This window comes from Homo sapiens, chromosome 9, assembly GCF_000001405.40.
Source record: "Homo sapiens chromosome 9, GRCh38.p14 Primary Assembly".
NCBI lineage: Eukaryota > Metazoa > Chordata > Mammalia > Primates > Hominidae > Homo > Homo sapiens.
The window spans coordinates 90,871,581-90,884,765 of record NC_000009.12 but is presented as its reverse complement, the minus strand read 5'-3'; the positions used below and the strand labels follow the sequence as shown (position 1 = coordinate 90,884,765).

The following is a 13,185-nucleotide window of genomic DNA, read 5'->3' as shown; positions in this document are numbered from 1 at the left end:
TGTACACATATGTGTATATGTGTATATGTACATGTACACATATGTGTATATGTGTATATGTACATGTACACATATGTGTATATGTGTATATATGTACATGTACACATATGTGTATATGTGTATATATGTACATGTACACATATGTGTATATGTGTATATATGTACATGTACACATATGTGTATGTGTATGTATGTACATGTACACATATGTGTATGTGTATGTATGTACATGTACACATATGTGTATGTGTATGTATGTACATGTACACATATGTGTATGTGTGTGTATGTATATGTACACACATATGTGTATGTGTATGTATATGTACACACATATGTGTATATGTATGTATATATACACATATGTGTATGTATGCATATATACACGTATGTGTGTATGTATGTATACACGTATGTGTATGTGTGTATATATACACGTATGTGTATGTGTATATGTGTGTATATATACACGTATGTGTATATGTGTGTATATATACACGTATGTGTATGTGTATGTGTATATATACACGTATGTGTATGTGTATATGCGTGTATATATACACGTATGTGTATGTGTGTATATATACACGTATGTGTATGTGTGTATATATACACACACACATATATATATGTAGGGCACTTTGGGTTTGATTTGGGGTGAATGCAGTATTTAATCTATGTATAATTTCTATGGCCATAAACAGCCTCAGTGACACCTGTGATTTTCTCAGTGCCTTAGGGTATGGTTATTAGTGGAGGCTGTTGTGAAGGTGTACTGTGAATAGGATGCTAGGTGGGCCAGTCTTCAGACCCCAGTGGTGACAGCAGTGAGCTGAGTATGCCTGTCCTTGGGCCCTAGGGCGGTATACACTAGCACTGGTGTTAGTAGGTCTAAGAAGGCTGACCCTTGGGCTTTCAGGTAGATTGTGTGGATGCTGCAGTGGCTGGGCATGTGGGCAGGTTCTTGGGTTCCTGGGGAGTGGGTGTGATGTGGGTGATGGCAGTAATGGTGGTAGGGCAACTCACTGGAACCCAAGTGGTCCATGTTGGTGTTGGCGGTGGCTGCAACAGGATGTCATGCTCAAGTATTGGGGCATGTGACTAGGCCAATGGACTTGTGCTCAGGCTCCCTGGTGGTGCATTCAGCTGCTGGCTGTGATACGCAGGGAGGGGTGGTCTCTAGGTTGCCAGCAGTGGCTGCCCTGAAGGCCTACCACCAGAAAGGGTAGGGCCACTCTCAATAGGTGCAGAGTAGGCAGGTAGCTGTGGGATATGCAGTCTTCTTGAGCCTTGGTCCCACAGCAGCCCTCAGCAGTGGTGGTGGTATTTGTTTTTGTGGCATGTGAAAGTGCCTGGCCTCCCTTCTCCCTATGTGGCGGGGCAGTGGCAGCATCAGCCCTGGCCCAAGGAAGGACACAGACCTTTGGAGGCTTGGCTCTCAGAATGGCGCTGGCTATGGGCCTGCTCCTGGGGAGGCTGCGGACATTCTCAGGGGGAGCAGTGTAGGCAGGCAGCTATAGGGGGTGTGATTTGCTTGTGTCTCAGCCCCACAGCAGCCTGTAGCAGCAGGGGGATCTGTCCCTGGGGTGTGTGAAGGTGTCCATTCTCCCCTCTGTCCTTGGCCTGGTGATGGCAGCATCAGCAATAGTCCCAGGGCAAGATGCAGTCCTTTGGGGACTTGGTTCTCAGTATGGCACCAAGCTGCAGCTACTCAGAGCTTGGAAGCCTGTGGGACTCAGCGTGAGTTCCCTCTATGGAGCAATGCCTCTGTGTGATCCCTAGGCAGCTCCCTATGTTAGTCTTAAGGCCCACGTGGGTCGAGGGGTTCTTCTGTCGCTAGGATTGTAGAAGTCCTTGGCTGGAATGTGGAGCCCTGGGGATCTCTCATTTATGCTTTCCCCATATCTGGAAGCTTCTCCCAGCTCCCAGTCATTCCTGGCCAAGCAGGCTGCCTTGTTTCCCTGTGCTTTGCTTTTGGTGCTTCCTGTCGCTCCTTGGTTGCATCTGTGTTCTCTCTTAGACCATCTATTGGAAGTGTGAATATGTACTTGTTATTTTGGTCCGTCTCTACGGAGGAGCATATACTAGTTGCATTTAGTCGTCCATCTTGATCAGTTCTCCACCCAGGTCAATTATTTTAGCATGCACTACTTGCTAGCATCATTAAAAAATGATCTAAGCATTCTAATTTCCTAATTTTAAAAAGCAAGTGATAGTACAGAGGTCAAAACTGCATAGCAAAACCCTCTCTCTGGGTTTGGGATTCAGGGGGCACACAGCGGAGTCTGGTTATCTTCTGCTGATGTCACCTGTGTGAGGTCTCATTGGGGTGGAGAGGGGGACATGATTTCAGTGAAAACTGATTTCATGACACTACAGTGGATCACAAGGAGACATTCAGGACATCAATCTGGAGACCATAAGGTGCCCTGGCACTTCTCTTCCAAATGATACAACTGATTATACTTCTGTTTCCATCACCTTGTGTGCTATTTTAAAATTTTGATCTTACAAGTCATGAACAATACAACCATGTGTGTTATTTCAGGTTTCTTCTGAATTTTGAACTGATGAAAAAAGTAAACCTTTGACAAATCTTAAATGCAATGAAATTTAGGCTGTCTTCAGAATAACCTAGATACATGCATAAATAGGTAGTGTATACTTTTTTCTGGTCATAAAACTAGGGGCATATTCTTTGAGCACTGTACTTTTTAATTTTTCTACCTAACCATGTATAGTAGACATATTTCTAGGTCAGCACATGCAAATAAGTCACTTTTAAAAGGGTTGCATTGTGAGCTTCCTGTGAATCTGCTATGACTGATTGGACCAAACCCTGCGGAGCAGTCGTCAGGCAGTTTCCAGATTTTTGCCGTGGCAGCCCGTGCTAGAGTGCACATTACCAGATGTGTGTGTTTGCTCTCGGAAGGAGCTGCTGGATCAAAGAACACCTGTGTTTTTCAGTTGTGATGCTGCACAAATCTACCCTGTCACGCATGGTTTCCCGAGTGCCAGCGTTCGTTTGCTTCCACAGCTAGCACTTTTCTTTGATCTTGTTTCACTTTTTATTCCTTTTTTTTTTTGAGACAGAGTCTTGCTCTGTTGGCCAGGCTAGAGTGCAGTGGCACGATCTCAGCTCACTGCAACCTCCACCTCCCGGGCTCAAGCAATTCTCCTGCCTCAGCCACCAGAGTAGCTGGGATTACAGGTGCCTGCCACCATGCCTGGCTAATTTTTGTGTTTTTAGTAGAGACGGGATTTCACCATGTTGGCCAGGCTGGTCTCGAACTCCTGACCTCAGGTAATCCACCCACCTCAGCCTCCCAAAGTGCTGGGATTACAGGCGTGAGCCACCACGCCCGGCCCACTTTTTATTCTTTTCCATTTCACTTTGCTTTGTTTTCATACAGAAATCTTCCACTACCCTATCTTTTCGGTAGTTTTGTCTCTTTTTGCTGCTTCCAAGATGGCTTTTATTTCCCTAGTGGCTTTTTTTCTTCATTGATTGTCCAAAGACAATCTTTGGTTTACTTTTTAGTTTAGTTTACTTTTTAATGGTATGCTGTTTAATATCTACAGCAGTTTTAGAATTGGCCCCATGTTCTTTGACTCTTTGACACTTCTCCTCAAAAGGGTGGTTCTATCTATCCCATCCTTTGAAGCTGGTGGCCTTGGCTGCTCTGACCAATAGGATCAGGTGGAAGTGACCCTGAGGTAGTTTCTGGGCCTGGTTTTATAGGCCTGGCAGCCCCCACTTCCTGCCTCTTGGGTAACTGCTCTCAGCCCGCAGCTGCCATGCTGCCCAAGGGAAGCATGGGCCCAAGGGAAGCCCAAGGGCCCCAAGGAGAGGCCATGTGCAGGTGAGCTGGCTGACAGCCCCGCAGAGGTCTCCAGCATGGGCTGTGTCTAACCAGCTGCTCAGTGGCTGAGTAGTGTGAGTGAGCAGAGTGGAAACGGTCCTCCTGTCCCTCGGGCCACTGTGCAATCCCCTGTGTGAGCAGACGCACTGAACCCTGCCTACCTGGCCCTGCCCACACAGCAGGACGGCAGGGAAACCAACACCTGGTGGTGTTTTTGGCAGTAAGTTTGGGGTGATTTGTTATACAGCAGTGGATAAGGTGCCCAGCATTCATGTTTCATTTTCTCTATCTCCTCTGTGTCCTTGTTTCAGACAGGCTGTCTTCTTTTCTGTAATGATCATGATGAGGTACATCCAGCATTACAACAGGCTTCTTTCTCCAGCATGTCCCATGCTGGTCATCCTAGGCTGCTGTCTTCCTTGCTCTGTTTCCCTGCTATTTCTATCCAGGCCCATGCTGATGCCTTTCTCACAGTGGTTCACCTCTGAAGGGGCTTCCTTCTGGGAAGCTACTGTATGAAGAATGGGGTGAGGAGGGCCAGCCTGACCCCTGCTGTACTCTCGCCTGGCCTTTGTGCTCAAGATGGTGGAGTCTGCCTGCCTGCCTGGGAGCTTGGCTCTTGTGGCTTACCCTTCATGCAGTCCCTTTGCTGGCCGAGGTCCACCATTCCCCATCACCTACCAGTCCATGGACTGCCTCTTAGGGAAAGGTGAGTGGGTGGGTATTGTCACTCAGGGTGGGGTCTCTGACCACTGCAGGGCATGAAACACAGGATCCTATCTGCCACCCACTAGGTAGATTTTGAAGGTCTGCCATCTATTTCTGAGCATGTGGACTTCACCAGAGACTAGCAGGGTTGTTAACCTGCCTTCGGCACCCTCTTTGACTCAGTGGGATTGGTGCCATCACGTTTTCCAGTTGGTTAACATAGACCCTAGGTATACACCACAGATGAGTTAATATGAAGATAGAGCTTTCTTATCTTTTCTTCTTTTAGTTGTTATTGGTTCATTTGAGGGTTCAGAGAGGGGTCAAGTTATATTAGCAAGGGGATTGGTCACTGTGAAATTATTTTTTAGGAAGTCCAAACCTGCACCCAGAACTAGTTTCTACTTTATGTTTTGCTGGAAGTCCACCCTTAATTCTTGATAATCTCTGCCTCACCAAACCAAGGGGCATATTTCTTTTAGCTTCAGTCACATAACTATCTAGATCTCTTCTTTCCAGCACTGCATCTATTTTTTGACACTTCAACTCTTCTGGATACCAGTTAAGCCAATAGAACAATTTCTACATATGTAGTGGACATACACAGATGACGAGTTTATTTGGTAAATCTTCACTTTCTAACTTTTGCATGTATAGGTAGGTGTTCATTAGAAAGTTATTTTGGAATAGCTCCAAGCTGCAATATTGGAGCTCTGAACTGCAGTACTGGAGCTCCAAGCTCCAATAGCTCCATGCTGTGGGACAGTGTTCCACCACATGTTATGAAATGTCCTATCAGAAAAGGATGCCATGGATGAATCTGGTTTGAGAAATGCAGTGCAGTAAACCCTCTACTGAGATTCGTAATGTTAAGTAGCATGAAAAGGGCTTCGGGGAAATCCTGCAAGAATCAAGCTGTCCAATGCAAACTTTTCAAATTAACTTAATGAAGGAATCCCATTCTTCTTTTTTCAAAACAAATCTTCACTTAATACCTCGATTCCTGATCATTCCATGAAACATAATTTAGAATATACTACTTTGAGTAAATCTCAAGGTGTGATATTATTTTTATTTTTTAAACAGTAAAATCAAAGATTATAAGAACATATCTTACATAGTTATTTTTCAGTAGCAAAACTGCTTTTTGAAACCATACCAATAATAAAATAAAGAAAACGTACATTTATCTTGCATTTTTTACCACCTGCTGCTCTGAATATTAGCTAAGTTGTACTTACCTTGTAGTAGTTTTCATCAGCACGCAGTGCTTTGGAAAGTCCGAAATCACTGATCTTGGCGTAATGTTGGGTAACTAGCAACACATTTCTTGCAGCCAGATCTCTGTGCACAAAATTGCTCTCCTCCAAGTACTTCATGCCCATGGAAACCTGATGAACCAGTTCTATGATGTTCTTATCCTTGACATGTCTGAAAGTCATAATGATCTCATCAGCTATAACAGACAGTGACCCATTTCACAACAAACAACCATGCTCCTCACGCAGGCAGTGGGTGAATCTACTCCTTCCCTCTTCTTAAACAACAAAACTCACGAGTGGTGACAAATAACTTTGTTAGCATATAGCTCTTCAGGACTCAATGCCATATTCTCCTGGTGTTCAATGGGATTGAGTTTCCTGGCATGCTTGGAATTGCAAGAAAAGCAGTATAACAGAGTAGTCAGGCCTGGCTCACAGATAGCCAGGCACCACCTCAAATCCTTGTTCCAGTATCACACAGGTCACAGAACTAACCCTGAGAATCAGTTTCTCACCTACAAAGTCAGGGTAAGAACACCTCCCTTCCATGGAGACTAAAGAGACAATCTAAGTACAAACGTAGCACAGCAAATGAGGCAAGCTCCTCGGTGGCCATCATTCTGTCTTACTCCAAGTGAGTTTCTTCATCTCAACAACAGCTTTAGATGAGAAGAACACAATTACTCCCTTGATGGATGTAATCAATTAGCAGTGATTGGTATTTTCAGAAGTCATCACTCATGAGAACATAAGGTCAGCCAAACAGATAAGACTTAACTGTCACCTCTTAGAAAAGCATTTATTTAAAATGTTTCTTTAAAAAGAAAGTGTTCTTCCCAGTGAGAAAGGAGATTCCATGTCAAGATATTCTGAGGCTGAGTCTATCACTAGGCCAAGACTGAATGACTACAGGAAGAAAAAAAAGACAAAACTGTCAAATGAGTTCTTCTCTGAACAACTAGAGCTAACAGAGCTGAATCCAAAGACTATGTCTCCCTGTCCCTCTGTCAAGGTCCCTGAGTATGGACCAATAAAGGAAGGCACAGGAGGGTGGGAAGGCTTCCCAAGGAAATCAGGCTGCTCGGCCCATCCAGGGGTGGGCCCTGTCCCTTAGGGGATAGCTTCCAGATGTGTGGGGGCACCTGACAATACCTGTTCTGCTGCAAATACTTATTGAGGGGACCAAGTTCTGCCATCTCCATAACCAGCATCCAGGACTCGGCCTCGCATATCCCGATCATCCGCACGATGTACGGGTTGTCCAGCTGCTGCATGACATTTGCTTCTGCTAATAACTCATCTTTAAGAGCGGGGTCATTGGCCTCGTTTTTCAGTATTTTCACAGCCACGGTTTTCACAACTCTGCAAGAGAAATCATAACACACAAGAAACTTTCCAAAATGCCTCACTTCTAGATAATCTTATCCTGTGAAGCATAATCCCCCTGTGGAAACAGTCCCACGGAAATACCTGCCACAGAGTGGCAATGTGTCTTCAGAAGCCTGTAATGGATGGCTGGCCTTCCAACCTATATTCCCTTATTTTATAGACAATGAGAGTAATACTCCATTACTAAAAAAGAATGGTGGGGGCTGGGCATGGTGGCTCATGCTGACAATCCCCATACTTTGGGAGGTTGAAAGGGGAGGATTGCTTGAGGTCAGAAGTTCAAGGTCAGCCTGGGCAACATAGTGAGACCCCCATCTCTAAAAAAAATCACCCAGGTGTGACAGTGCAAGCCTGTAGTCCCAGCTGCTCGGGAGGCTGAGGTGGGAGAATCACTTGGACTCAGGAGTTCAAGGCTGCAGTGAGCTTCTTGCCACTTCACTCCAGCCTGGGTGACACAGTGAAACACTGTTTCTAAAAAATAATATAAAATAAAAAGAATGGTGAAGAACAGTACTGAAGAATGTCCCAACCAAGCAAAAACCCTAAACTGTAAAATATTTAAATAACTTGTAAATAAACTTCACCAACGATGACATGTACGAATTCCTGTAACATCTTGGGATTCACCATCTCAGATTACATGTAATGAATGTGAATATAAAATGCCTTTCATAATTGTTGAAAGTGAATTTCTAGGTGCAGAATTTAAAAGCATATATTTCAATGTAATACATTGAAAAGGTAAACAACTCTCCTGAGAGAGGCTGAAGAAGACCTGGTAAATGGAGAGATGGGCTGTGTTTATAGATTGAAAGACTCAGTATTGTAAAGACATCATTTTGCCCCAAATTGACCGAGAGAGCCTCTCCTCTCCCCAAATTCTCTAGTTGAAATTATGTCCACAGTCATGTCTATGTTAATTCACAAATTTAAGCACAGAATAAAGATCACAACCTTTCATAATCTGAAAAAGCTTAGGATTAATACAGAAACATTTTTACTCATTGTACAAAATGACTGTGATATACAAACATATATTTTAAAATAAGTATCACAGCCAATTTTGATTGTGTGTGTATATATGTGCGCATGTATATACTTGTGAATGTATACATATGTGTGTATGTTTGTGTGTGTATACATACATGTATGTGTATCTAATTTACACACACACACATGCACAAAAACAAATCGAAGGGACAGATTGGAAAGCAAGCATTTCTTTTTTCTTTCTTTCTTTTTTTTTTTTTTTTTTTGAGGCAGAGTTTCACTCTTGTTGCCCAGGCTGGAGTGCAATGGTGTGATCTTGGCTGGCTGCAACCTCTTCCTCCCAGGTTCAAGTGATTCTCCTGCCTCAGCCTCCTAAGTAGTTGGGACTACAGGTGTATGCCACCACACCCAGCTAATTTTTTGTATTTTTAGTGGAGACGAGGTTTTACCATGTTGGCCAGGATGGTCTTGAACTCCAGACCTCAGGTGATCCACCTACCTTGGCCTCCCAAAGTGCTGGGATTATAGGCATGAGCCACGGCACCCGGCCGGAAAGCACGCATGTCTGTGTATATTTTTGTCTATATTTTTAACCCTTGAATCATAAAAATTACCTACTCACGAATTTTTTTTTTACAAAAATCCCTTACATTTGAAATACCATGAAGCTACTAAATCTAACCACATTCATATTAGTATCATACCAATTCAAACAGAGGGTGTATTTCAAAGGACTTTAGAAACCAGTAGTTTTACTTGTACATTCTATGTTGGGTACCTTCTAAAGACCAAAAGAAATACAAAGATATTTTCGAAATTTAGCAATTTTAACTGTTGTATAATATGTATTGTTATCTGAAATCATAGGATAAAGCCAATAAATAATTATACTAATCATATTTGGAATCAATAATTTTCATGTAAGAAAAATGAGATGTAACTATAAAATTAAAGAAAATAAATGTAAAAACTATTGTTATAATGGAATGATTTTGTTTTAATTAAATAATATCTGTGTGTACAAATAAAGATCTAAAAATATATACAATAAGATTAAGTTAACAGTAGTAATGTTTAGTTAACAGTAGTAGTGTTGGGATGGTATTATACAAATATGATGTTCTTCTTTTCTTTTTTTTGTTTTGTTTTTTGAAACAGGGCCTTGCTTTGTTACCCAGGCTAGAGTGCAGTGGTGCAATCATGGCTCACTGCAGCCTTGGCTTCTTGGCCTCTTGAGCAGCTGGAAGTATATGTGTGCACTACTATGTCTGGCTAATTTTTTATGTTTTATTTATTTATTTATTTATTTATTTTTTTTGTAGAGACAGGGTCTTGCTATGTTGCCCAGGCTGGTCTCAAGCTCCAGGCCTCAAACAATCCTCCTATCCCAGCCTCCCAAATTGCTAAGATTACAGGCATGAGCCACCATGCCAATTTGATGTTTTTATTTTCTTATGTTTCTGCTTGTTTCTATTTCCTAATTTTCCATAAGGTGCATGTACTATTAGGTTGGTGCAAAAGTAATTGCAGTTTTTGCCATTAAAGGTAATGGACGCTTTCATTATAATAGTACCAGAAATTAACAAGAATGGTAGCATTAATAAAAAAAGGGTTTAGTCATGCCAGGTTACATTTTGTTATTCTCAGTCATGTCTAGAACCTGAGCTCATGTGAGGGTGAGGCTGGTGGAACATAGCAACTTACTTTTTCATTTGGTAGTAGCCCTTTTTCACAGTTCCAAAATTACCAGAGCCCAGTTCTTTGTCTTCCAGCGTCAGCAGCTTTCGGTCCAGGTAAACCTCCTTGGGCCTGATCTCCTCGGGGTCCGCGTAGGGGCTCTCGTACACCTCTGTGTCCATGGGTAGGGCTTCTCTCTGGGGGCCTGCAATGCAGTCAAGAAACATACGACCTGGGGCTGGACCCCACACCAGGATTCATCCTTCCAAGAACATGATCTTCATGGGAATATGAACTCAGAGTAGCATCAATGTTGCAAGGGATGAGAAATTCTGAAGAGTGGCAGGGACATTTCCAACGTCGTTGGGTGAGGGAGGTGGGAAAGACCATTTCATTCAATAGCACCATCACTGCTCATGGGCATGTGGTGCCTGCTGCCTGCCACTAGATGTGAGTGTTTCCATGGCTAACTGTGGCTGTATTGCAATCACGGACGTGGTGTGGATTCGTGAACCAACTCTACAAACTTACAAGTGACCACGCACTTTGCTCTGTGAATGTCCCTTGAATGAAAGGAAGTCTCACCTTTGTCTGCAGCCCAGGGTGCAAGTTCTGGCTCATACGGATTGAATGACACAGTACTCTCTTGCCGGTTCCCTTGGGCAGGGGAGGACTAAAGTACATAAAGGACAACAGGTTGTTTTTCTTCATCCACAAAACTGTTAAGTTGATCTGCATAATTATTTTTATTTTCCAATAATCACAGTTTAACTTTTGCAGGAAAGACAAAGGAAAGAATTACGAAAAACAGGGAAGAAAATAAGGCTGATCTCATTCTTCGGGCAATTATTTGGATCTTGCAAGGGCTAAAGCAAGCTTGTGCTGCTACAACTCAAGGGACTCTGTGAGGTGTTCAGAGGGTGTGGTGAGAGTCAACTCTACTGGCCTGGATAGAGCTGCTTCCCCACTCACCCCCTTGCACATCCTATTCCCACCTACCAAAGATCGCTGATGATTTGCATGTTCGCCTTGGAAGCATTTTCCTTCTTTAACTTGTGCTCTTCAATTTCATATTACATGGACATTATTTAAAGAGGAAAATTAGTACTCATCAGCTGCTCCTACCTACTTCCCAACTCCAACGCACATATGTTTTCCAAGTCTCCACCCAAGTCTTTATCTTCGGTGGAGATGCAGCAGCATTGGGGTGGATGGCAGAGGGTGGCACTGGTCAGTAACTACAGGTCCCAAGGGAAGGCCAGTTGCTGCCACCTAGGCCAGCAATGCTCCAGCTGCCACAGCTAATGCTGGAAATCAGTACCCCTGTGAGACAGGTATTTATTTGGTCCACATCAGTTTATATCATGAAACAACTGGGGGGGGAAATCTACTCATTATCCTAAGGACTTTCCCTTTTGAAAGTCTCTATCTTGAGTTTTCCTGACCCACCCTTTCTTCCAAATTAAAACAAGATTCTTGCTACTAAATTTAATTCACAGGAGAACCATGATTCAGATGCTTTTTTTTTTTTTTCAGCGTGAGTTGAGTCACAATTCTATGTATTGATTGACCTTTTCAGTGCCCAAACACTGGCCACGAAGAAATGAGATACTGCCAGATTATGGAGAAAGTTACAGAAACAGAGACATTAAGCTTAACGTGACAGTCACTTATCTTATGACACACACTAAATCCTCATGTGCCTTATTCATATTACAAGGCGAGAAACCAAAAGCAGAATAATGAGGTCACAATGCACCACTACCGCCACTCAGCCATTGTTTCCAAACACCCGGACCTTCTTCTTTCACACGGTCTGCTGAGCACTTCAGAGGCAGACATTGTTCACCATGGCCCAAGCCTGTTGACAAGGCTAAAGGACATCTGGTCTTATTTGTAAAAATGATGTCGATGGGATCTGTTTTGTCACAGAGTATCTCAGCACTTCTACTGAACTGATTAACAGAAGTAACTATGACACATCAAAAATAAAAATAGAATATAAGCTCAAGGAGGGGGAGACATTTATTCACTGCACTCGGAACTGTGCCACGTCCACAAGGACGCTCAATAAAAATGTGTTGAACAAACACATGAATGAATGGATGGGTGAATGAATGAAAATCACTTCTAAAAACTAGGAGATGTGAAGTATAATCTAATGTGCTTTAAAAATTAGCTCTCTCTCAAGCCTTTATGCTGATGAAGAGAAATAAGAATGAATAATTCCAAATGACAATCTATTTCTTTTAAACATTTACATATGATTACAGGACTGTGCTGTGGTTTCACTTCTGATTTATAATATAATTATCCTGCCTCTGGAAAACTGTCCTGACAGAAACTGGGTGATCCCCTAGGCTTTCTGTCCTCCTCTTTTGCCCAGTTTTCTCCCGCAACCAATTCTAGGCTGAAAATAGTTTTATTTTTTTTAAAGTCTCTTTCAAGGTTAATATTTACTGTCATTTCAACTCCTTTGATTTTCCCTGCAGGCAGGCACATTCTGAGATCCAAAGACAAAACTTGAACAGATGTGGAATTAAAGGATGTCCTCGGACTAGCCATCACTGGTGAGGAGAGGGACCATCACCTCTTCTTGACATAAGACCTCCTGTCCCTCCCACTGAGGACATTATCCTGGGGTTGCAGCCTCTCTACCTCACAGAATGTTCTCCAGACCAGGAGGACTTCCAAATGGCTTGTTCCAATTAAACCAGAACGCAATTCCCTGACATATGAATCCTGCAGGGAAGAATTTTAAAACAGAGATGGGGTTGTCAAAATATGCTGAAAGGGATACTAGGGTGTCAGGAATGAGTAAGAATTAGTAGCGATGGACACAGAGAATCTAAACCCCTGGGCACAAATAATTTATACTCTCACTAGCAGTGTGTTGTTCACCCCTAGTCTATCTTGGCTTATGGATAGGGAAACAGATGGGAGATCTTCCTCGGAAATTAGAACTCCACGTTTATAGCCAATAAAGCTTGGGGCTTCATTTCCATGCTGCCCAACACAGACCACTATGTGATTATAAGCCTTTTAAGCCAAGCCACAAAGAACCCTCATGTCTCTCAACAACCCCACATCAACTCTCTCCTACCCAGATCCCTGGGCTCCCTGCCCCTATCTCTTTCTGGTGACTAACAGGACTGGAGCAAAGAATGATGCCACAACTGGAAGAATGTGGAAGAAATGGGAGGTTTCCTATTGAGTCAGTTAAAAGAACAGTAGTTACTTTATGATAAAGATGAAGATGCAAAATCCATGCTTCATCTTTCCCAAAGCACTTGGTG

The 13,185-nt window shown here is 42.9% G+C and overlaps 1 protein-coding gene across 9 annotated transcripts in view, besides 1 other annotated feature; it reads right to left on the bottom strand.

Annotated features, from left to right (window-relative positions):
- Positions 1-13,185, bottom strand: part of SYK (spleen associated tyrosine kinase) — a 96,950-nt gene that overhangs the window by 13,784 nt on the left and 69,981 nt on the right. For 8 of the 9 annotated variants that reach the window (XM_011518946.4, NM_001174168.3, XM_047423809.1 and 5 more), the window contains 4 exons: positions 10,475-10,562; positions 9,917-10,094; positions 6,986-7,195; positions 5,813-6,002 (listed from right to left, as the gene is read on the bottom strand). In XM_011518946.4, coding sequence (XP_011517248.1) covers positions 5,813-6,002; positions 6,986-7,195; positions 9,917-10,094; positions 10,475-10,562 — 666 coding nt within the window. Of the gene's footprint in view, positions 1-5,812; positions 6,003-6,985; positions 7,196-9,916; positions 10,095-10,474; positions 10,563-13,185 lie in introns of those variants that run through there. The other variant, XM_047423811.1, reaches the window with a different exon arrangement.
- Positions 4,402-4,614: a silencer, noted in NCBI's record as "fragment chr9:93642434-93642646 (GRCh37/hg19 assembly coordinates)". NCBI's record gives its function as "represses an EF-1alpha promoter that drives an FKBP-Casp9 reporter gene in an ReSE screen in K562 erythroleukemia cells {active_cell/tissue: K562}" and the evidence as "EXISTENCE:reporter gene assay evidence [ECO:0000049][PMID:32094911]".